This window comes from Homo sapiens, chromosome 1, assembly GCF_000001405.40.
Source record: "Homo sapiens chromosome 1, GRCh38.p14 Primary Assembly".
NCBI classification, from domain to species: Eukaryota; Metazoa; Chordata; class Mammalia; order Primates; family Hominidae; genus Homo; species Homo sapiens.
The window spans coordinates 179,684,411-179,706,563 of record NC_000001.11 but is presented as its reverse complement, the minus strand read 5'-3'; the positions used below and the strand labels follow the sequence as shown (position 1 = coordinate 179,706,563).

The 22,153-nt window shown below is 40.4% G+C and overlaps 1 protein-coding gene and 1 long non-coding RNA gene across 13 annotated transcripts in view; one reads left to right on the top strand and one right to left on the bottom strand.

Annotated features, from left to right (window-relative positions):
* LOC105371635 (uncharacterized) overlaps positions 1-16,023 on the top strand; it is a 39,520-nt gene extending 23,497 nt beyond the window's left edge. The window contains exon 3 of one of the 2 annotated variants that reach the window (XR_922329.3): positions 15,979-16,023. This is a non-coding gene — a long non-coding RNA (uncharacterized LOC105371635). Of the gene's footprint in view, positions 1-4,406; positions 4,531-15,978 lie in introns of those variants that run through there. The other variant, XR_922328.2, reaches the window with a different exon arrangement.
* Positions 15,292-22,153, bottom strand: part of TDRD5 (tudor domain containing 5) — a 99,660-nt gene continuing 92,798 nt past the window's right edge. For all 11 annotated transcript variants that reach the window (XM_047447750.1, NM_001349923.1, NM_001199091.2 and 8 more), the window contains one exon: positions 15,292-15,868. In XM_047447750.1, the coding sequence (XP_047303706.1) occupies positions 15,621-15,868 (248 nt within the window). In that variant the 3' untranslated portion in view covers positions 15,292-15,620. The remainder of the gene's footprint in view (positions 15,869-22,153) is intronic.

The following is a 22,153-nucleotide window of genomic DNA, read 5'->3' as shown; positions in this document are numbered from 1 at the left end:
CTGGCCTGGCAACAGAACTCCTGTCCTAGAGCGCCACCTAGCAGCAAGGAAAAAGCAAAACCCTCTAAAGAATAATTAATTTGACTTTAGAACAAAACAATTTTTTAAAAATCCAGCTTTGGTGAAGTAGTCCCCTCACCAAGTCTACTCTGAGGAGTAATTCAGGTAGAGAAATCCTGGGCTTATCATCTCCAAGTTGAAAACTCGAATGAGGTTTTCACACACTACTTTGCCCTGGCTCTCCGTTTTAGCAGCTGCTGCTGAAAGCTCAGCTATCCGGGCAGTATTACCAACTAACCCTCGGCCAATGCCCTTATGACACCAAACACTCCTTATGACACCCTGACACTCCTAAAGACTCATTTCAAAGACAACAGCAAATTCAGTTTTGTTAAGATTTCACAAAGGTTCCAATGATATCAGTTTATCTTGCCCAATCAATGTCATGGCATGAACAAACAAAAGAAGAGTTGCCACCGGCTTCACTGTTGGGAAGGTTGTTTCGACTCTCCCCACGTTGCCATCCGTTTGGCCAGTATTGTGAGAGGGGAAAAAAGCCATCACAATTCAAGTATTGTTCATGATATGGCCCACATTACATTTTTTACAATATTTGGTAGGAAAATACCACTATGGGAGATAAAAGAATATAGAACTTACATAGTGGATAATCAAATTCAGATGAGTTACAGTAACCTATTGCTACTCTATTTCACTTATTAAAAATAAAATTACTTTCTAACATAGGAGTTCTCAGCTTCTTATGCCCATGCTCGCATGTCTGAGGGATAAAACCCTTGGATATGTCACAGTGGCTGTCACTTTCATTTGGGAAGAAAGAATTGCAATTCATGGCATACAGGGCGGTCTTTGGTATGTCTGAAGAACAAAGAGAAGGTTGGGGGTTTTATAAAAAAGAGAAATGTGGCCAGGTGCAGTGGCTCACGCCTGTAATCCCAGCACTTTGGGAGGCCGAGGCGGGCGGATCAAGAGATCGAGACCATCCTGGTCAACATGGTGAAACCCCGTCTCTACTAAAAATACAAAAATTAGCTGGGCATGGTGGCGGGCGCCTGTAATCCCAGCTACTCGGGAGGCTGAGGCAGGAGAATCGCTTGAACCCGGGAGGCGGGGGTTGCAGTGAGCCGAGATTGCGCCACTGCACTCCAGCCTGGTGACAGAGCTAGACTCCGTCTCAAAAATAAATAAATAAATAAACAAATAAAAATAAATAAGAGAAACGTTACATACTGCTCTTTGAGAAAGTTCTTTGGCACTAATAAGGTTCTAGGGAGCTGCAAGTTTTGATTAGTGAGTGATGGCAGTAGATAAAATTAGTCATAAAATTGCAGCAAATCATTTTAGCAACTATTTGATGAAATGGGTTTCAGATTACAGCACGCAGCTTCAGCAGCCAGGTGTGCAGAGAATTACATTTTTGGAGCAACGTTTTGGGTCCTGAGTTCTTTTCCCTCATGGCTTCTCAACTGTTTCATGTGGGTGTGACAAGAATGGCCCAATTCATATGATCAGCTTTCACAGAAGGACTGAAGAAATGGGGCGGGGAGGAGGGGCAGTGTGAATAGATTGATGAAGTTCTCTCTTCATCCAGGCAGTGTGCTCCTCCAACTCCTTCCCTTGAGAATCACCACTTTAAAGTTTTAGTAAGAAAGGTCAGGACATATGTTTGTTTCTTGTATGTAGTTGGTGTTACCCTCCCGCATGGTAGTTCTCAGCTCTTGTTGCTCATTAGAATCAATCACGTAGGAGCCACTAAATCAGTCTTTAGGAGATATGTTCCAAGCAGAGGAAGTTTTTGAAAGCTCCTCCAGGGGATGAAAGTGCAAGGCCAAGCTTGCAAACTGCTGCTGTGCCTGCTGCATTGGCAATGCTTATTTTAATGCATTTTATTCTTCAGTGTGAATCCATGATTTAATCTTTGTTATCTAATAGAAACAAAGTTGGTGGTACTTTCCTTGCTCATTTCTTTAGTTGTAATATTATTTTTTAAAATCACATTTTCTCACACTATGCCACATTCAAAACAAAACAAAAATCTCATGATTTTAATATTCAGAGTCAATATATACTTAAAAAGGATTAATGGAAGAAAAGCCACCACAAAATACAAAGACATTTCTTGGTAAGTGGAGCAAATTCTTTGGTTTCTTTCATTTTTCTTTTGTCCCTGGAGTTCATTATTTGGCACAACACATAGCCAGTGCTCACACCAGCACACACACACTCTCTCTCTCTGACACACACACACGTCCCTTGATTTAGCTACAAACTTTTAAGACCACCAGAAGGTCCACAGAATGAAGTTGAAGTTCAAGATAAATATTAACTCTAAAGGGCAGCTTTAAATGAATTTCTTTTGACTTGTGTTTACCTGTTGCACTGGGGTTTGTGGTGTTAGAAAAATTTTCTGGAAAATAAACCATGAAGTCAGAGGTGAGCCTCAGAGAATGAGGAACAATAAATTAAAAGGAGCCAATTTGGTAAATCAGTGTTTTCTGGGGAGAGTAAGAGGCTGTTGCTGAAAAGCAGAAAATGTCAAATTGCTTTTCTGGGGGGACAGTTTCCTTCACAAACCCAGCCAGAAAAATGATCAAATATGGTTTCTGCAGAAGAGTAACCTTAACAAAATACTTCCTGCCTTTCTACTCAGAACTCTTATCTGGAGGACGTGCTTTTCATCCAATTCTAAATGCAAAGTTTAAATGGGATGTTTGCTCATGTTTGATTAGGCTCTTCCCAATAAGTCTTCTGTTTTATAGATATTCAGAACACAGCATTGCAGAAAAAAGATCAAGATTTCAATGGCCTTAATTTATATCCTATTCCCTGTCCTATCTACTCATTCTATCACTCAGTAAAATTTACCGAGCATCTACCACGTGCCAGGAAAGACATGGAAGTGGCTTAGCCTAGGGTGACAGCAGGTCTACAGAGAAAGAGGGACTAATGAGATAATGAGGAGGTAGAATTTGACAGGCCTTGAATGTGAGGCATGTCATCCAAAACCACCAGGATGGCTAAATAGTAAAAAGGAGAGCTTTATTGGTGGTATCAGTTTGCAAACAGGGAAGAGATAGTCTCCAGCATGGATGAAGGTTCTTCCTCTTCTAAGAGGCGAAGAGAGGTTGAGTTTGATAGCTCACTGGGCTGTAACACATAATAGTCATACACATTCAGCAGGACTGGCAGAAAAGCTATACATATTTATGAAGGGGAGGGGCCGAGCACATGCCCAGTGGATAGACGTATGTGTAACACACATCTCATGTTCACTCTAGAGTGGGCTTTTAACATTAAAATGTGGTAGAATTTGGCTCTTTACATTAAAAGGTGAACTACAGAACACAGAGTTTGTGTACAGCCTCTATCAGCTGGCTGAAACTGGCTTAGAGTCGGCAGGTGTGCTTATCAGAAAAGAATGTTTGTAGGGCTGGAAATCAGTTAGGAGGAGTCTGATAGCTCCTATTGTTAGAGGGTTTAGCAAGAGTGTAGTTTTCCTTGTCACCTAGGCATTCAGGAAGGTATCATGTCAACTGAGCCCTGAACCCTTGACCCGTAGGTAACTTTTGTTTTTTTAACCTTAGTGTCTGTCTTAGTTGATAAAGGGGCATTTTTATTTTTATTATTTATTATTTTTTTATTTTTTATTTTTGTCTCTCAGATCACAGGATGAAGGGCTGGGAGTAGCCAGAAGGAGTCTATTCCTAGTTCATATCTAGGCGAGGAACACAGGGCAGAGGTGGGGCTTGAGCAAGAGGGAGATTTTTCTGAACTTCTATTCAAGAAAGTCTGGGCCAGCCACGGTGGCTCATGCCTGTAATCCCAGGACTTTGGGAGGCCGAGGTGGGAGGATTGCTTGAGGTCAGAAGTTCAAGACCAGCCTGGGCAACATAGCTAGACCCTGTTCCTAATAAAAATTAAAAAAACAGAAAATTAGCCAGGCATGGTAGCATGCACCTGAAGTCCCAGCTACTCTAAGGCTGAGGTGGGAGGGTTATTTGAGCCCAGGAGTTTGAGGCTGCAGTGAGCTATGAGTGCACCACTGCACTCCAGCCTGGGTAACAGACCAAGACCCTGTCTCTAAAAAGAAAGTTAATGACTCCATAAAAGTTGGAGATCACTTGTCCCTAGCATATAGAAACTTGAAAAGTCTTAGACATTATACTCATGTCAAACAGGGTATCATGAAGAGGAAATACATGGGGATATTCTTTGTCTAACAGTCAGTATCCTAAGTGGTACATACCATCTTATTTAACTGAAAGGTGTTTTCATATATATGGTATCAGAAGAGATTCTCTATCAGAGTAACAACACTGCAGTAATGCATGCTTTTGTCAGGGAACCATTTGCTCTAGTAAGTAATGAATTGAACTTGTTTACAGCTTCTACTTATGGTCCAGTGGAATGACAGATGAAGGAAAAGTTTGGAATTTCAGAACCATCTGGAAATGTTCTGCTCTAGGCAGAAGAGCTGGACTGCAGCAAAGGCTCTGAATGTGGAATCAATAAACCAAGGAGGCAGCTGAATGAGCACTGAGTTATAGTTGCAAGACAGAATTAGGTTTGGTATTTGGTGTGTGGAACAGATTCAAAAGAGAATTTAAGAACCTAGATGATGACTTAGGGTTTGACACGTTGCTATACAAAAGATAAATAATTCTTTGAAATGTAGCTGTCAGGTACTTAAGAAGTGGCTCCAACATTAATGAATTTCCAATTTCATGGAATTATCTAAAATATAAGAAAGGCTGACTAGGCCAGTACTTTGAAAATAAAGAGGTCATGCCAAAAATGAAGACAAATGGTTTAGTCAAGAATCAAATCTGTTTTCTAACTACATAAATTTTGCATTTTACTCAAGTCCTTTACATATTTAAATGAAATGTTCATTCCTATAGAATCAACAACACTAATTTACAAACACCGAGACATTTTTGAAAAAACAAATTCCAACTTCATAAGTATTTAAATCAAACAAAATGTTGTTACATACGTAAGTATTTAAATCAAACCAAATGGTAATCTTTAACCAAAGATTAAAGATTAAGCTAATCATTTCTTGATTCCAACAACTTCCCATTAGTTCTGTAACAAAAGTTTAGAGGGCAGAGATGGAGTTATACATTTGGCTTCATCATCAGATTATTTATTTAAATTGCACCAAGAAGTTAAAATCAAGTAAATATTATTTATTATATCTTTTCCATAAATTAAAAAATTTTAATGGAAACATACAACAAAGTTTAGGCCAAATAGAAAGCTAAAAGCATTTCCTGAAAATGAAGCTTAAAAAACCAAGAAAATTTAGTCGTGAATAAATTCTCTATTCAGTTTTGAGGTACAGTCACTCAATTTCACATGAAAAGTGGCACACAAGTCAATTATGATACTAAATATTAAAGAATTCCCTGAGTAGTTACAACATCTTCTGTCCACAGTTAAAACAAGTATCTAAGGGATTCTGGTTTCAAGAGGCCAGTGGGACCTAAAACTTGCTAGAATGACTGGTGACTGTCCAAATGAAACAAACGCCACTTGTTAGGAATGGGGCTAAATTCAAAGTACATAGATTTAGTTCATACAGCTATGCTCCTTGATTGGAATCTTGGAAAAGGTCAAGCTTTGAATGGGCTTCAGGAAATGAAATATATTCAACATCTTAGTGACAGCTCCTGCAGAATTATAAATAAGGCATATAGTGAATGCTATCCATTGGACTGTATATGAGATTATGAAAAGATATCAAAAATGTTAGAAATGCCTATTAGCATAAATGTTAATAGAAAGCTTCAGAAAGATTTCTCTGTAAGAAGTTGGTTTCTCATTCCTTATGCTAGCCTATCCCTTTTTCAGATTCTTCAGCTGTAGAACTGGCCCACTATTTAAGTATCCACATTCAAGGATATGACCAAGCCTGCCAATTAGTCCCTTGCCCCACCACCACCAACAAGCACCTTTCTTATGGACTGATCTATCAAAGCTGTGTCTTCTGGCATCAAATCATTTCAAGTACACAAGATGGAGCTGCAATATTTCCTGTGGAAAGGGCACTGAGCTAGGAATCAGCAGATATGATAATTCAAACTGTGTGACCATAGGCAAGTTGATCTTTTTTTTTTTTAATTTAAGTTCTGGGATACATGTGCAGAATGTGCAGGCTTGTTACATAGGTGTACATGTGCCGTGGTGGTTTGCTGCACCCATCAACCCGTCATCTACATTAGGTATATCTCCTGATGCTATCCCTCCCCTAACCCCCCACCCCTCGACAGGCCCCCGTGTGTGATGTTCCCCTCCCTGTGTCCATGTGTTCTCATTGTTCAACTCCCACTTTTGAGTGAGAACATGCAGTGTTTGGTTTTCTGTTCCTGTGTTAGTTTGCTGAGAACGATGGTTTCCAGCTTCATCCATGTCCCTGCAAAGGACCTAACTCATCATTTTTTATGACTGCATAGTATTCCATGGTGTATATGTGCCACATTTTCTTTATCCAGCCTATCATTGATGGGCATTTGGGTTGGTTCCAAGGCTTTGCTATTGTGAATAGTGCTGCAATAAACATACATGTGCATGTGTCTTCATAGTAGAATGATTTATAATCCTTTGGGTATATACCCAGTAATGAGATTGCTGGGTCAAATGGTATTTCTGGTTCTAGATCCTTGAGGAATCACCACACTGTCTTCCACAATGTTGAACTAATTTACACTGCAACCAACAGTGTAAAAGCATTACTGTTTCTCCACATCCTCTCCAGCATCCGTTGTTCCCTTTTTAATGATCACCATTCTAACTGGTGTGAGATGGTATCTCATTGTGGTTTTTATCTGCATTTCTCTAACGACCAGTGATGATGAGCTTTTGTACATATGTTTGTTGGCTGCATAAATGTCTTCTTTTGAGAAGTGTCTGCTCATATCCTTCACCCACTTTTTGATGGGGTTCTTTCTTGTAAATTTGTTTAAGTTCCTTGTAGATTCTGGATATTAGCCCTTTGTCAGGTGGATAGATTGCAAAATTTTTCTCCCATCTGTAGGTTGCCTGTTCACTCTGATGATAGTTTCTTTTGCTGTGCAGAAGCTCTTTAATTAGATCCCATTTGTCAATTTTGGCTTTTGTTGCCATTGCTTTTGGTGTTTTAGTCATGAAGTCTTTGCCCATGCCTATGTCCTGAATGGTATTGCCTAGGTTTTCTTCTAGGATTTTTATGGTTTTAGGTCTTACATCTAAGTCTTTAATCCATCTTGAGTTAATTTTTGTATAAGATACAAGGAAGGGGTCCAGTTTCAGTTTTCTGCATATGGCTAGCCAGTTTTCCCAACACCATTTATTAAATACTGAATCCTTTCTCCATTGCTTTTGTCAGGTTTGTCAAAGATCAGATGGTTGTAGCTGTGTGGCATTATTTCTGAGGCCTCTGTTCTGTTCCATTGGTCTATATATCTGTTTTGGTAGCAGTACCATGCTGTTTTGGTTACTGTAGCCTTGTAGTATAGTTTGAAGTCAGGTAGTGTGATGCCTCCAGCTTTGTTCTTTTGGCTCAGGATTGTCTTGGCTATAAGGGCTCTTTTTTGGTTCTATATAAAATTTAAAGTAGTTTTTTATAATTCGTGAAGAAAGTCAATGGTAGCTTGATGGGGATAGCATTGAATCTATAAATTACTTTGGGCAGTATGGCCATTTTCACAACATTGATTCTTCCTATCCACGAGCATGGAATATTTTTCCATTTGTGTCCTCTCCTATTTCCTTGAGCAGTGGTTTGTAGCTCTCCTTGAAGAGGTCTTTCACATCCCTTCTAAGTTGTATTCCTAGGTATTTTATTTTCTTTGTAGCAATTATGAATGGGGGTTCACTCATGATTTGACTATTATTGATGTATAGGAATGTGTGATTTTTGCACATTGATTTTGTATCCTGAGACTTTGCTGAAGTTGCTGATCAGCTTAAGGAGATTTTGGGCTGAGATGATGGGGTTTTCTAAATGTACAATCATGTCATCTGCAAACAGACAATTTGACTTGCCCTCTTCCTATCTGAATACCCTTTCTTTCTTTCTCTTGCCTGATTGCCCTGGCCAGAACTTCCAATACTATGTTGAATAGGAGTGGTGAGAGAGGGCACCCTTGTCTTGTGCCAGTTTTCAAAGGGAATGCTTCCAGCTTTTGCCCATTGAGTGTGATATTGGCTATGGGTTTGTCATAAATAGCTCTTATTATTTTGAGGTATATTCCCTCAATACCTAGTTATTATGAAAATACCTAGTGTTTTAACATGAAGGGATGTTGAATTTATCAAAGGCCTTTTCTGCATCTATTGAGATAATCATGTGGTTTTTATCATTGGTTCTGTTTATGTGATGGATTATGTTTATTGATTTGCATATGTTGAACCTGCCTTGCATCCCAGGGATGAAGCCAACTTGATCTTGGTGGATAAGCTTTTTGATATGCTGCTGGATTTGGTTTGCCAGTATTTTATTGAGGATTTTTGCATTGATGTTTGTCAGAGATATTGGCCTGAAATTTTCTTTTTTGGTGGGTCTCTGCCAGGTTTTGGTATCAGGATGATGCTGGCCTCATAAAATGAGTTAGGAAGGAGTCCCTCTTTTTCTATTGTTTGGAATAATTTCAGAAGGAATGTACCAGTTCCTCTTTGTACCTCTGGTAGAATTTGGCTGTGAATCCATCTGGTCCTGGGCTATTTTTGGTTGGTAAGCTATTAATTACTGCCTCAATTTCAGAACCTGTTATTGGTCTATTCAGGGATTCAACTTCTTCCTGGTTTAGTCTTGGGAGGGTGTATGTGTCCAGGAATTTATCCATTTCTTCTAGATTTTCTAGTTTATCTGCATAGAGGTGTTTATAGTATTCTCTGATGGTAGTTTGTATTTCTGTGGGATCAGTGGTGATATCCCCTTTATCATTTTTGCATCTATTTGATTCTTCTCTCTTATTATGGCTAGTGGTCTTCTATTTTGTTGATCTTTTCAGAAAACCAGCTCCTAGATTCATTGATTTTTTGAAGGGTTTTTTGTGTCTCTATCTCCTCCTTCAGTTCTGCTCTGATCTTAATTATTTCTTGTCTTCTGCTAGCTTTTGAATTTATTTGCTCTTGCTTGTCTAGTTCTTTTAATTGTGATGTTAGGGTGTCAATTTTAGATGTTTCGCACTTTCTCCTGTGGGCATTTAGTGCTATAAATTTCCTTCTAAACACTGCTTTAGCTGTGTCCCAGAGATTCTGGTATGTTGTGTCTTTGTTCTCATTGGTTTCATAGAACTTATTTATTTCTGCCTTCATTTCATTATTTACCCAGTTGTCATTCAGGAACAGGTTGTTCAGTTTCCACATAGTTGTGCGGTTCAGAGTGAGTTTCTTAATCCTGAGTTCTAATTTGATTGCCCTGTGGTCTGAGAGACTGTTATGATTTCCGTTCTTTTGCATTTGCTGAGGAGTGTTTTACTTCCAATTATGTGGTCAATTTTGGAATAAGTGTGATGTGGTGCTGAGAAGAATGTATATTCTGTTGATTTGGGGTGGAGAGTTCTGTGGATGTCTATTAGGTCCACTTGGTCCAGAGCTGAGTTCAAGTCCTGAATATCTTTGTTAATTTTCTGTCTCGTTGATCAAATATTGACAGTGGGGTGTTCAAGTCTCCCACTATTATTGTGTGGGAGTCTAAGTGTCTCTGTAGGTCTCTAAGAACTTGCTCTATGAATCTGGGTGCCCCTGTATTGTGTGCATATATATTGAGGATAGTTAGCTCTTCTTGTTGCATTGATCCCTTTACCATTATGTAATGCCTTTCTTTTTTTTTGATCTTTGTTGGTTTAGAGTCTGTTTTATCAGAGACTAGGATTGCAACCCCTGCTTTTTTTTTTGCTCTCCATTTGCTTGGTAAATATTCCTCTATCCCTTTATTTTGAGCTTATGTGTGTCTTTGCACATTAGATGGGTCTCATGAATACAGCACACTGATGGGTCTTGACTCTTTATCCAATTTGCCAGTCTGTGTCTTTTAATTGGGGCATTTAGCCCATTTACATTTAAGGTTAATATTGTTATGTGTGAATTTGATCCGTCATTATGATGCTAGCTGATTATTTTGCCCATTAGTTGATGCAGTTTCTTCATAGTGTCGATGGTTTTTACAATTTGGTATGTTTTTGCAGTGGCTGGTACCAGTTTTTCCTTTCCATATTTAGTATTTCCCTCAGGAGCTCTTGTAAGGCAGGCCTGGTGGTGACAAAATCTCTCAACATTTGCTTGTCTGTAAAGGATTTTATTTCTCCTTCTCTTATGAAGCTTACTTTGGCTGGATATGAAATTCTGGGTTGAAAGTTCTTTTCTTTAAGAATGTTGAATATTGGCTCCCACTCTCTTCTGGCTTGTAGGGTTTCTGCAGAGAGATCCGCTTATAGTCTGATGGGTTTCCCTTTGTGGGTAACCCCGCCTTTCTCCCTGGCTGCCTTTTTTTCCTTCATTTCAACTGTGGTGAATATGACAATTATGTGTCTTGGGGTTGCTTTTCTCAAGGAGAATCTTTGTTGTGTTCTCTGTATTTCCTGAATTTGAATGTTGGCCTGTCTTGCTTAGGTGGGGGAAGTTCTCCTGGATAATATCCTGCAGAGTGTTTTCCAACTTGGTTCCATTCTCCCTGTCACTGTCCAGTATACCAATCAAACATAGGTTTGGTCTTTTCACATAGTCCCATATTTCTCGGAGGCTTTGTTCATTCCTTTTCATTTTTCTCTAATCTTGTCTTCTTTATTTCATTAAGTTGATCTTCAATCTCTGATATCCTTTCTTCTGCTTGATCGATTTGGCTACTGATACTTGTATATGCTTCACAAAGTTCTCGTGCTGTGTTTTTCAGCTCCATCAGGTCATTTATGTTCTTCTCTAAACTGGTTATTCTAGTTAGCAATTTGTCTAACCTTTTTTCAAGGTTCTTTGCTTCCTTGCATGGGATTACAACATGCTCCTTTAGTTCAGAGGAGTTTGTTACTACCCACCTTCTGAAGCCTACTTCTGTCAATTCATCAAACTCATTCTCCATCCAGTTTTGTTCCCTTGCTGGAGAGGAGTTGAGATCTTTTGGAGGAGAAGAGGCATTCTGGTGTTTGGAATTTTCAGCCTTTTCAAGCTGGTTTTTCCTCATCTTTGTGGATTTATCTACCTTTGATCTTTGATGCCGGTCACCTTCGGATGGGGTTTTTGTGTGGATATCCTTTTTGTTGATGTTGATGCTATTCCTTTCTGTTTGTTAGTTTTCCTTCTAACAGTCAGGACCCTCTGCTGCAGATCTGCTGGAGGTCTACTCCAGACCCTTTTTGCCTGGATATCACCAGTGTAGGCTGCAGAACAGCAAAGATTGCTGCCTGTTCCTTCCTCTGGAAGCTTCATCCCAGAGGGGCACCCACCAGATGCCAGCCAGAGTTCTCCCGCATGGGGTGTCTGTCGACCCCTGCTGGGAGGTGTTTCCCAGTCAGGAGGCATGGGGGTTAGGGACCCACCTGAGGCGGCAGTCTGTCCCTTAGCAGGGCTCGAGTGCTGTGCTGGGAGATCCACTGCTCTCTTCAGAGCCGGCAGGCAGGAACGTTTAAGCCTGCTGAAGCTGCGCCCACAGCTCCCCCTTCCTCCAGGTGCTCTCTCCCAGGGAGATGGGCGTTTTCTCTATAAGCCCCTGGCTGGGGCTGCTGCCTTTCTTTCAGAGATGCCCTGCCCAGTGAGGAGGAATCTAGAGAGGCAGTCTGGCTACAGCAGCTTTGCTGAGCTGCAGTGGGCTCCAACAAGTTCTAACTTCCTGGTGGCTTTGTTTACACTGTGAGCAGAAAACCACCTACTCGAGCCTCAGTAATGGCAGACACCCCTCCCCCTACCAAGCTTGAGTGTCCCAGGTCGAGCTCAGACTGCTGTGCTGGCAGCGATAATTTCAAGCCAGTGGATCTTAGCCTGCTGGGCTCCGTGGGGGTGGGATCTGCTGAGCTAGGCCACTGGGCTCCCTGGCTTCAGCCCCCTTTCCAGGGAAGTGAACGGTTCTGTCTTGCTGGCATTCCAAGCACCACTGGGGTATGAAAAAAAACTCCTGCAGCTAGCTGTCTGCCCAAATGGCTGCCCAGTTTTGTGCTTGAAACCCAGGACCCTGGTGGTATAAGCACCCAAGGGAATCTCCTGGTCTGTGGGCTGTGAAGACCATGGGCAAAGTGTAGTACCTGGGCTAGAATGCACCATTCCTCATGGCACAGTCCCTCACAGCTTCCCTTGGCTAGGGGAGGGATCCCCAACCCCTTGCATTTCTTGGGTGAGGCAATGCCCTCCCCTGCTTCGGCTCACCCTCAGTGGGCTGCATCCACTGTCTAACCAGTCTCAATGAGATGATCCTGGTACCTCAGTTGGAAATGCAGAAATCACCCACCTTCTGTGTTGATGTTGCTGGGAGCTGCAGACTGGAGCTGTTCCTATTCAGCCATCTTGCCAGCCACCCCGGCTGCTGTCAAGTTGATCTTTCTAGACTTCAAATTTCCTCATGTTAAGTTCCCTTCTAGATCAAAATTCTGTAATTCTAAGTCTCTAGGTTAGACATAGGCTGATTGTGGGCAGAAGCCTCTAGTTACTCCCCATGCCTTGAAATGGGCAACTGACATCTCAAACCTGAAGTTTAGAGGGGAAAGGCTGCTTGCTGCTGGAATGGCTCCTCTTTTGGTATCTCATGGGTTGTTTTTTTTTTTTTTTTTTTTTTTTTTGAGACGGAGTTTTGCTCTGTCGCCTAGGCTGGAATGCAGTGGTGCGATCTCGGCTCACTGCAACCTCAGCCTCCTGGGTTCAAATGATTCTCATGCCTCAGCCTCCTAAGTAGTTGGGACTAACAGGTACATGCCACCAAGTCCAGCTAATTTTTGTATTTTTAGTAGAGACAGGGTTTCACCATGTTGGCCAGGCTGGTCTCGAACTCCTGGCCTTAAGCGATCCACCCACCTAAGCCTCCCAAAGTACTAGGATTACAGGCATGAGCCACTCCCCACCCCAGGCTTTTGGGGTATTTTTGGATGGGAGATGGGTAGTATTGGCTACAAGCCACTGGAGGTAAAACCAGAGTCGCTTTTAGTAAAGCCAGTCCCTCTTCCATCCCTAAGGAGTTTAGCACCAGGATTTTCCTTTATGTTCTCACTCATTTCCTTTCACATACCTCAGGCTCCCATTTCCCATTCAACATTCACTGGGGACCTCCATTACTGCAAACAGGTCTTGAATACCAAAAATGTTGGGGGTGGGGCAGGGAACTGTTCAAAGTATAGATGTCAGCCCATCTTTTGACAATAAAATAAAATTAACTCTAAAACACATAGCATCTACATATCTTTTGTACATTTCTTTCTTATCACTGTTCCTGCCCATATACAGAAATCTACTCATTTTCAAATGATGTATCTACTTTGATTCTTTGCTGATAGTTTAGTTTAGTTTAGTTTACTAGACAAAGCCCACATTTTTGGGAGACAGTATAATAAGTAAACAGATTGACAGGGTGGCTATCCTAGTCAAAGCCAAGTAGTCAACATTACAAGCCTCTGAAAGGCTCTTTCTTCACACCAACTGAAATAAGGTATTAATCATTAATTACTAAATAGGCTTCTTTCAAAGTGTGTTGACACTCATTTGAAAGAAGTTTGAGATAGTTTTGTCTAAATGATTCTCTATCCAGCCACAGGCAAATGAGATTCTGAAACAGCCTTAGCACAGTTATTTCATAATCCCCATCCAGTTTGCAAGGTGTAAAATTAGTCCCTATCAGATTATGAAACCAACTATCAAACTTGCAAAAAGGCTACCCAGCTTTGGCAGACTTCCTTCTGGTATCTGAGTGCTATTATAGAGAGGGTTACAGTTTGGCTTACTAAATGTGTATTTCCATCAACCCTTACGACATACTGCTTCTACCAGAGTCATCTTGCCCCAAACCCAGTTTAGTGTTCACCTGGAAAAGTAAAATATAATATCAGATTTGGCTTCTTCTTTAAAGGAAGAATCAAAAGTGCCATCACTTCACAATGAATTTTCTTCTTTTGAAACATATTTTGTCTAATTATCTAAAATTATATGAAAAACTGCTCCACCGGTTCATACCAATTAAGCATCATATATATATATATATATATATATATATATATATATAATATTTAACCATCACATTATATTTAACTGTCCACTGACCCTCCATATCTAACTCTCCACCTGCCTTCTCCAATAAAGATGTCTGATAGAAAATCACAAAAGCCCAAAACTCTTTCATCAGTTGGATTAACTATCAGTGATGTTTCCAGATTACTTTTGTCTTTTTTTGTCAGTTAGTGTATCCTTACATTATTCTTATAGATATATTGGAATTATAGGTGAATCTGAGCTTTTAAATTGTACGACATTTAAACATGTTTTCTCTAAGGCTTTTAAACAGAAAATGATCAGTAAAGACTTTTGGTTTACCTTTGTCTCATGATAATACTCTGAATGTATTTCTGTATTTACCCCCCTCCTACTCCCTTCCTTAGTGGATATTTTGCTAATTAAGTAGTTGGGAAGGAAAGAGGAGAAATTCCTTATTGTAGAAAAAGAGAGAGGAACCAGGAGACCAGCTCTGTCATTTAATGCCAAAAAAAGGAGGCCTTAGAAGAGCAGCTATGTGGGTGAGAACCTTGTTACATGAAGCATGCTATTTACATCTCTTTCTCAGATTTTACTTCTAAGAAATGATTCTGTTTTGGGGGTTAATTCTGTGAGTAAAATATTTTTAAAATCTGGGTATAAGTCTGGTAAAAAAAATTAACTAGCATTACTCACATTTTAAAATTTCACCTTCAGTCTTTTTTGATGATCTATACTATGAGCTCAACAGACTACCATTATCACATTTCACAGAATCTGACCTCAGAGAACATCATGTTATATAAATGCTTAAACAATGCCACTGTTGAACGATTGCTACATTAAGGCTCTTGGGAACTGTGATAATTATAGAGATGGCTCAGCTACATTTCAGAAATTGCCTTTACTGCAAACAGCTTAATTTTTTTGAAATGTAAAAGTATTCGTATGACCAAAGCTTCAGGGTGTAGATTTTCTTATTGATCCCAATATTTCAAAGACATAATGGTGCTCTATGATATAGAAGACTTCAAGTTAGAAAGCAGCCTTAAGAGTCAGACATCTTTTTTTTCTGGAGATAGGAATGTGAGACTATTTTGTCTTGCCAAATATAGATCACAAACATTAGTTTTTCAATTTTCATTTATCAGTCATGATAATGTACAAGAAAAACAAACACAAAAAAACAAATTCCTTTAAACTACATTAAAAACAAAGGTGAACAAAATGACACAGAATAAAATCAAGAAAAATCAAGATTAACAGTAAATATCAATACTTACTTACACATCAAAGTAGACTGTTAGCATAATAAAGCTAACATATAGTCACAGAAAGACAAAAGTATCAATGATCAAGATACTATTTTGCTTCAATAACTCCTCATTTTGGCCTGGGAGTTCATCAAAGCCTAAGCGGCTGGATTCTGTTTTTCTCCCTCCTCCCTCCCTCCCTCATGCTTCCATCCTTTTCACACTGGGGTACCAGTGTAGGAGGCTCCTGGATGTAGCTAACCGTGCGGCAGCACCTAAGGCAGCAGTGGCTGTACTTCGAGGAATGTAGAGCTTCTGAGAAATCTGGCACTCATAAGACAAAATCAAAGACAGCTGGTCTACAGATTCTTGACGCTTGTCTTTGTACAATGTAATAGCACGGCTGCTAGAAAAATCTTCATTCTTTAGGATCTCTGGTGAGCTTTCCACTGGAAAAGAAAGAGTACACAAACATCTTTTCAAGGGGTACTCATACTCACTGCCTCCTCTCCCCCATTCTAGTTCTATACTAATATGTGTTACAATCATTTTCTGTTAGGTAGCGACAATTACCAATGGCTAATCAGAGAAGATGAGACTTAGAAACCAGTCAACAAATGGAAAGGAAATGGGGAATCATGAATTGAGATAAAATAAATCTTGTCAGGATGAAGGTAAGTGAGAGAGGGAAAATATACCATGAACAACGAAGGGATGCCTTATTTCTAGGAATGTCATAAAAATAAATTGGATATAACGGAAATCCCAAAGAGCCCATAAGTGCTTCTATTTCCTTCCAGCACTAAGCTAAATGGTGTCCCACAGGCATTCTATTGCCACAGTTGTTCCAATTCCAAGTCTGTGCCAGGGTAAAAATAAAACCATCCTAGACTGTGGTTGCTAAGAAGTCCCCCAAACCAGTTATCAGCCATAAAATAAATGCCGAGAGGTTCTAAGATGGCTGAATAGGAACAGCTCCAGTCTACAGCTCCCAGTGTGAGCAACGCAGAAGATGGGTGATTTCTGCATTTCCAACTGAGGTGCTGGGTTCATCTCACTGGGGCTTGTTGGACAGTGGGTGCAGGACAGTGGGGGCAGCCCACAGAGCATGAGCCGAAGCAGGGTGAGGCATCGCCTCACCGGGGAAGCGCAAGGGGTCGGGGAATTCCCTTTCCTAGCCAAGGGAAGCCGTGACAGATGGCACCTGGAAAATCGGGTCACTCCTACCCTAATACTGCACTTTTCCAACACTCGTAGCAAATGGCACACCAGGAGGTTTATATCCCATGCCTGGCTTGGAGGGTCCCACGCCCACGGAGCCTCACTCACTGCTAGCACAGCAGTCTGAGATTGAACTGCAAGGTGGCAGTGAGGCTGGGGGAGGGGTGCCCGCCATTGCTGAGGTTTGAGTAGGTAACCAAAGTAGCCAGGAAGCTCGAATTGAGTGGAGCCCACCACAGCTCAAGGAGGCCTGCCTGCCTCTGTAGACTCCACCTCTGGGAGCAGGGCATAGCTGAACAAAAGGCAGCAGAAACTTCTGCAGACTTAAACGTCCCTGGCTGACAGCTTTGAAGAGAGTAGTGGTTCTCCCAGTGTGGAGTTTGAAATCTGAGAACGGACAGACTGCCTCCTGAAGTGGGTCCCTGACCCCTGAATAGCCTAACTGGGAGTCACCTCCCAGTAGGGGCCAATTGACACCTCATACAGCCAGGTGCCCTTCTGAGATGAAGCTTTCAGAGGAAGGATCAGGCAGCAACATTTGCCGTTCTGCAATATTTGCTGTTCTGCAGCCTCTGCTGGTGATACCCAGGCAAACAGGGTGTGGAGTGGACCTCCAGCAAACTCCAACAGACCTGCAGCTGAGGGTCCTGACTGTTAGAAGGAAAACTAACAAACAGAAAGGACATCCACACCAAAACCCCATCTGTACATCACCATCATCAAAGACCAAAGGTAGATAAAACTACAAAGATGGGGAGAAACCAGAGCAGAAAAGCTGAAAATTCTAAAAATCAGAGCTCCTCTTCTCCTCCAAAGGAACGCAGCTCCTCACCAGCAATGGAACAAAGCTGGATGGAGAATGACTTTGACGAGTTGAGAGAAGATGGCTTCAGATGATCGGTAATAACAAACTTCTCTGAGCTAAAGGAGGATGTTCGAACCCATAGCAAAGAAGCTAAAAACCTTGAAAAAAGATTAGATGAATGGCTAACTAGAATAAACATCATAGAGAAGACCTTAAAGACTTGATGGAGCTGAAAACCATGGTATGAGAACTGCGTGATGCATGCACAAGCTTCAGTAGCTGATTCGATCAACTGGAAGAAAGGGTATCAGTGACTGAAGATCAAATGAATGAAATGAAGCAAGAAGAGAAGTTTAGAGAAAAAAGAGTAAAAAGAAATGAACAAAGCCTCCAAGAAATATGGGACTATGTGAAAAGACCAAATCTACGTCTGATTGGTGTACCTGAAAGTGATGGGGAGAATGGAACCAAGTTGGAAAACACTCTGCAGGATATTATCCAGGAGAACTTCCCCAACCTAGCAAGGCAGGCCAACATTCAAATTCAGGAAACACAGAGAACACCACAAAGATACTCCTTGAGAAGAGCAACTCCAAGAAACATAATTGTCAGATTCACCAAAGTTGAAATTAAGGAAAAAATGTTAAACGCAGCCAGAGAGAAAGGTCAGGTTACCCACAAAGGGAAGGCCATCAGACTAACAGCGTATCTCTCTGCACAAACTCTACAAACCAGAAGAGAGTGGGGGATAATATTCAACATTCTTAAAGAAAAGAATTTTCAACCCAGAATTTCATATCCAGCCAAACTAAGCTTCATAAGTGAAGGAGAAATAAAATCCTTTACAGACAAGCAAATGCTGAGAGATTTTGTCACCACCAGGCCTGCTTTACAACAGCTCCTGAAGGAAGCACTAAACATGGAAAGGAACAACTGGTACCAGCCACTGCAAAAACGTGCCAAATTGTAAAGACCATCAATGCTAGGAAGAAACTGCATCAACTAACGGGCAAAATAACCAGCTAACATCATAATGACAGGATCAAATTCACACATAACAATATTAACCTTAAATGTAAATGGGCTAAATGCTCCAATTAAAAGACACAGACTAGCAAATTGGATAAAGAATAAAGACTCATCAGTGTGCTGTATTCATGAGACCCATCTCATGTGCAGAGACACACATAGGCTCAAAATAAAGGGATGGAGGAAGAACTACCAAGCAAATGGAAAAAAAAAAAAAAGCAGGGGTTGCAATCCTAGTCTCTGATAAAACAGACTTTAAACCAACAAAGATCAAAAGAGACAAAGAAGGCCATTACATAATGGTAAAGGGATCAATTCAACAAGAAGAGCTAACTATCCTAAATATATATGCACCCAATACAGGAGCACCCAGATTCATAAAGCAAGTCCTTAGAGACCTACAAAGAGACTTAGACTCCCACACAATAATAATGGGAGACTTTAACACCCCACTGTCAACATTAGACAGATCAATGAGACAGAAAGTTAACAAGGATATCCAGGAATTGAACTCAGCTCTGCAACAAGCAGACCTAATAGACATCTACAGAACTCTCCACTCCAAATCAACAGAATGTATGTTCTTCTCAGCACCACATCACACTTATTCCAAAATTGATCACACAGTTGGAAGTAAAGCACTCCTCAGCAAAGGTAAAAGAATAGAAATTATAACAAACTGTGCCTCAGACCACAGTGCAATCAAATTAGAACTCAGGATTAAGAAACTCACTCAAAACCGCTCAACTACATGGAAACTGAACAACTTGCTCCTGAATGACTACTGGGTACATAACAAAATGAAGGCAGAAATAAAGATGTTCTTTGAAACCAATGAGAACAAAGACACAACATACCAGAATCTCTGGGACACATTTAAAGCAGTGTGTAGAGGGAAATTTATAGCACTAAATGCCCACAAGAGAAACCAGGAAAGATCTAAAATTGACACCCTAACATCACAATTAAAAGAACTAGAGAAGCAAGAGCAAACACATTCAAAAGCTAGCAGGAGACAGGAAGTAACTAAGATCAGAGCAGAACTGAAGGAGATAGAGACACAAAAAACCCTTCAAAAAATCAATGAATCCAGGAGCTGGTTTTTTGAAAAGATTAACAAAGGAGATAGAACACTAGCAAGACTAATAAAGAACAAAAGAGAGAAGAATCAAATAGATGCAATAAAAAATGATAAAGGGGCTATCACCACTGATCCCACAGAAATACAAACTACCATCAGAGAATACTGTAAATACCTCTGTGCAAATAAACTAGAAAATCTAGAAGAAATGGATAAATTCCTGGACACATACACCCTCCCAAGACTAAGCCAGGAAGAAGTTGAATCCCTGTATAGACCAATAACAGGCTCTGAAACTGAGGCAATAATTAATAGCCTACCAACCAAAAAAAGTCCAGGACCAGTCAGATTCACAGCCGAATTCTACCAGAGGTACAAAGAGGAGCTGGTACCATTCCTTCTGAAACTATTTCAATCAATAGAAAAAGAGGGAATCCTCCCCAACTCATTTTATGAAGCCAGCATCATCCTGATACCAAAGCCTGGCAGAGACACAACAAAAAAAGAGAATTTTAGACCAATATCCCTGATGAACATGGATGCAAAATCCTCAATAAAATACTGGCAAACCAAATCCAGCAGCACATCAAAAAGCTTATCCACCATGATCAAGTGGGCTTCATCCCTGGAATGCAAGGCTGGTTCAACATATGCAAATCAATAAACGTAATTCCTCATATACACAGAACCAAAGACAAAAACCAAGTGATTATCTCAATAGATGCAGAAAAGGCCTTTGACAAAATTCAACAGCCCTTCATGCTAAAAACTCTCAATAAATTAGGTATTGATGGGATGTATCTCAAAATAATAAGAGCTATTTATGATAAACCCACAGCCAATATCATACTGAATGGGCAAAAACTGGAAGCATTCCCTTTGAAAACTGCCACAAGACAGGGATGCCCTCTCTCACCACTCCTATTCAACATAGTATTGGAAGTTCTGGCCAGGGCAATCAGGCAGGAGAAAGAAAGAAAGGGTATTCAGTTAGGAAAAGAGGAAGTCAAATTGTCCCTGTTTGCAGATGACAAGATTGGATATTTAGAAAACCCCATCATCTTAGCTCAAAATCTCCTTAAGTTGATAAGCAACTTCAGCAAAGTCTCAGGATACAAAATCAATGTGCAAAAATCACAAGCATTACTATACACCAATAACAGACAAACAGAGAGCCAAATCATGAGTGAACTCCCATTCACAATTGCTTCAGAGAGAATAAAATACCTAGGAATCCAATTTACAAGGGATGTGAAGGACCTCTTCAAGGAGAACTACAAACCACTGCTCAACAAAATAAAAGAAGATACAAGCAAATGGAAGAACAATCCATGCTCATGGATAGGAAGAATCAATATCATGAAAACGGCCATACTGCCCAAGGTAATTTATAGAGTCAATGCCATCCCCATCAAACTACCAATGACCTTCTTCACAGAATTGGAAAACACTACTTTAAAGTTCATATGGAACCAAAACAGAGCCCGCATTGCCAAGACAATCCTAAGCCAAAAGAACAAAGCTGGAGGCTTCACGCTACCTGACTTCAAACTATACCAAGGCTACAATAACCAAAACAGCGTGGTACTGGTACCAAAACAGAGATATAGACCAATGGAACAGAACAGAGGCCTCAGAAATAATACCACACATCTATAACCATCTGATCTTAGACAAACCTGACACAAACAAGAAATGGGGAAAGGATTCCCTATTTAATAAATGGTGCTGGGAAAACTGGCTAGCCATATGTAGAAAGCTGAAACTGGATCCCTTCCTTACACCTTATACAAAAACTAATTCAAGATGGATTAAAGACTTAAATATTTGACCTAAAACCATAAAAACCCTAGAAGAAAACCTAGGCAATACCATTCAGGGCATAGGCATGGGCAAGGACTTCATGTCTAAAACACCAAAGCAACGGCAACAAAAGCCAAAATTGACAAATGGGATCTAACTAAACTAAAGAGCTTCTGCACAGCAAAAGAGACTACCATTAGAGTGAACAGGCAACCTACAGAATGGGAGAAAATTTTTGCAATCTACCCATCTGACAAAGGGCTAATATCCAGAGTCTACAAAGAACTTAAATAAATTTACAAGAAAAAATCAACCCCATCAAAAAGTGGGCAAAGCATATGAATAGACACTTCTCAAAAGAAGACATCTATGCAGCCAACAGACACATGAAAAAATGTTCAGCATCACTGGCCGTCAGAGAAACGCAAATCAAAACCACAATGAGATAATATCTCATACCAGTTAGAATGGCGATCATTCAAAAGTCAGGAAACAGCAGCTGCTGGAGAGGATTTGGAGAAATAGGAACACTTTTTCACTGCTGGTGGGACTGTAAACTAGTTCAACCATTGTGGAAGACAGTGTGGCGATTCCTCAAGGATCTAGAACTAGAAATACCATTTGACCCAGTCATCCCATCACTGGGTATATACCCAAAGGATTATAAATCCTGCTGCTATAAAGAAACATGCACATGTATGTTTATTGCAGCACTATTCACAATAGCAAAGACTTGGAACCAACCCAAATGTCCATCAATGATAGACTGGATTAAGAAAATGTGGCACATATACA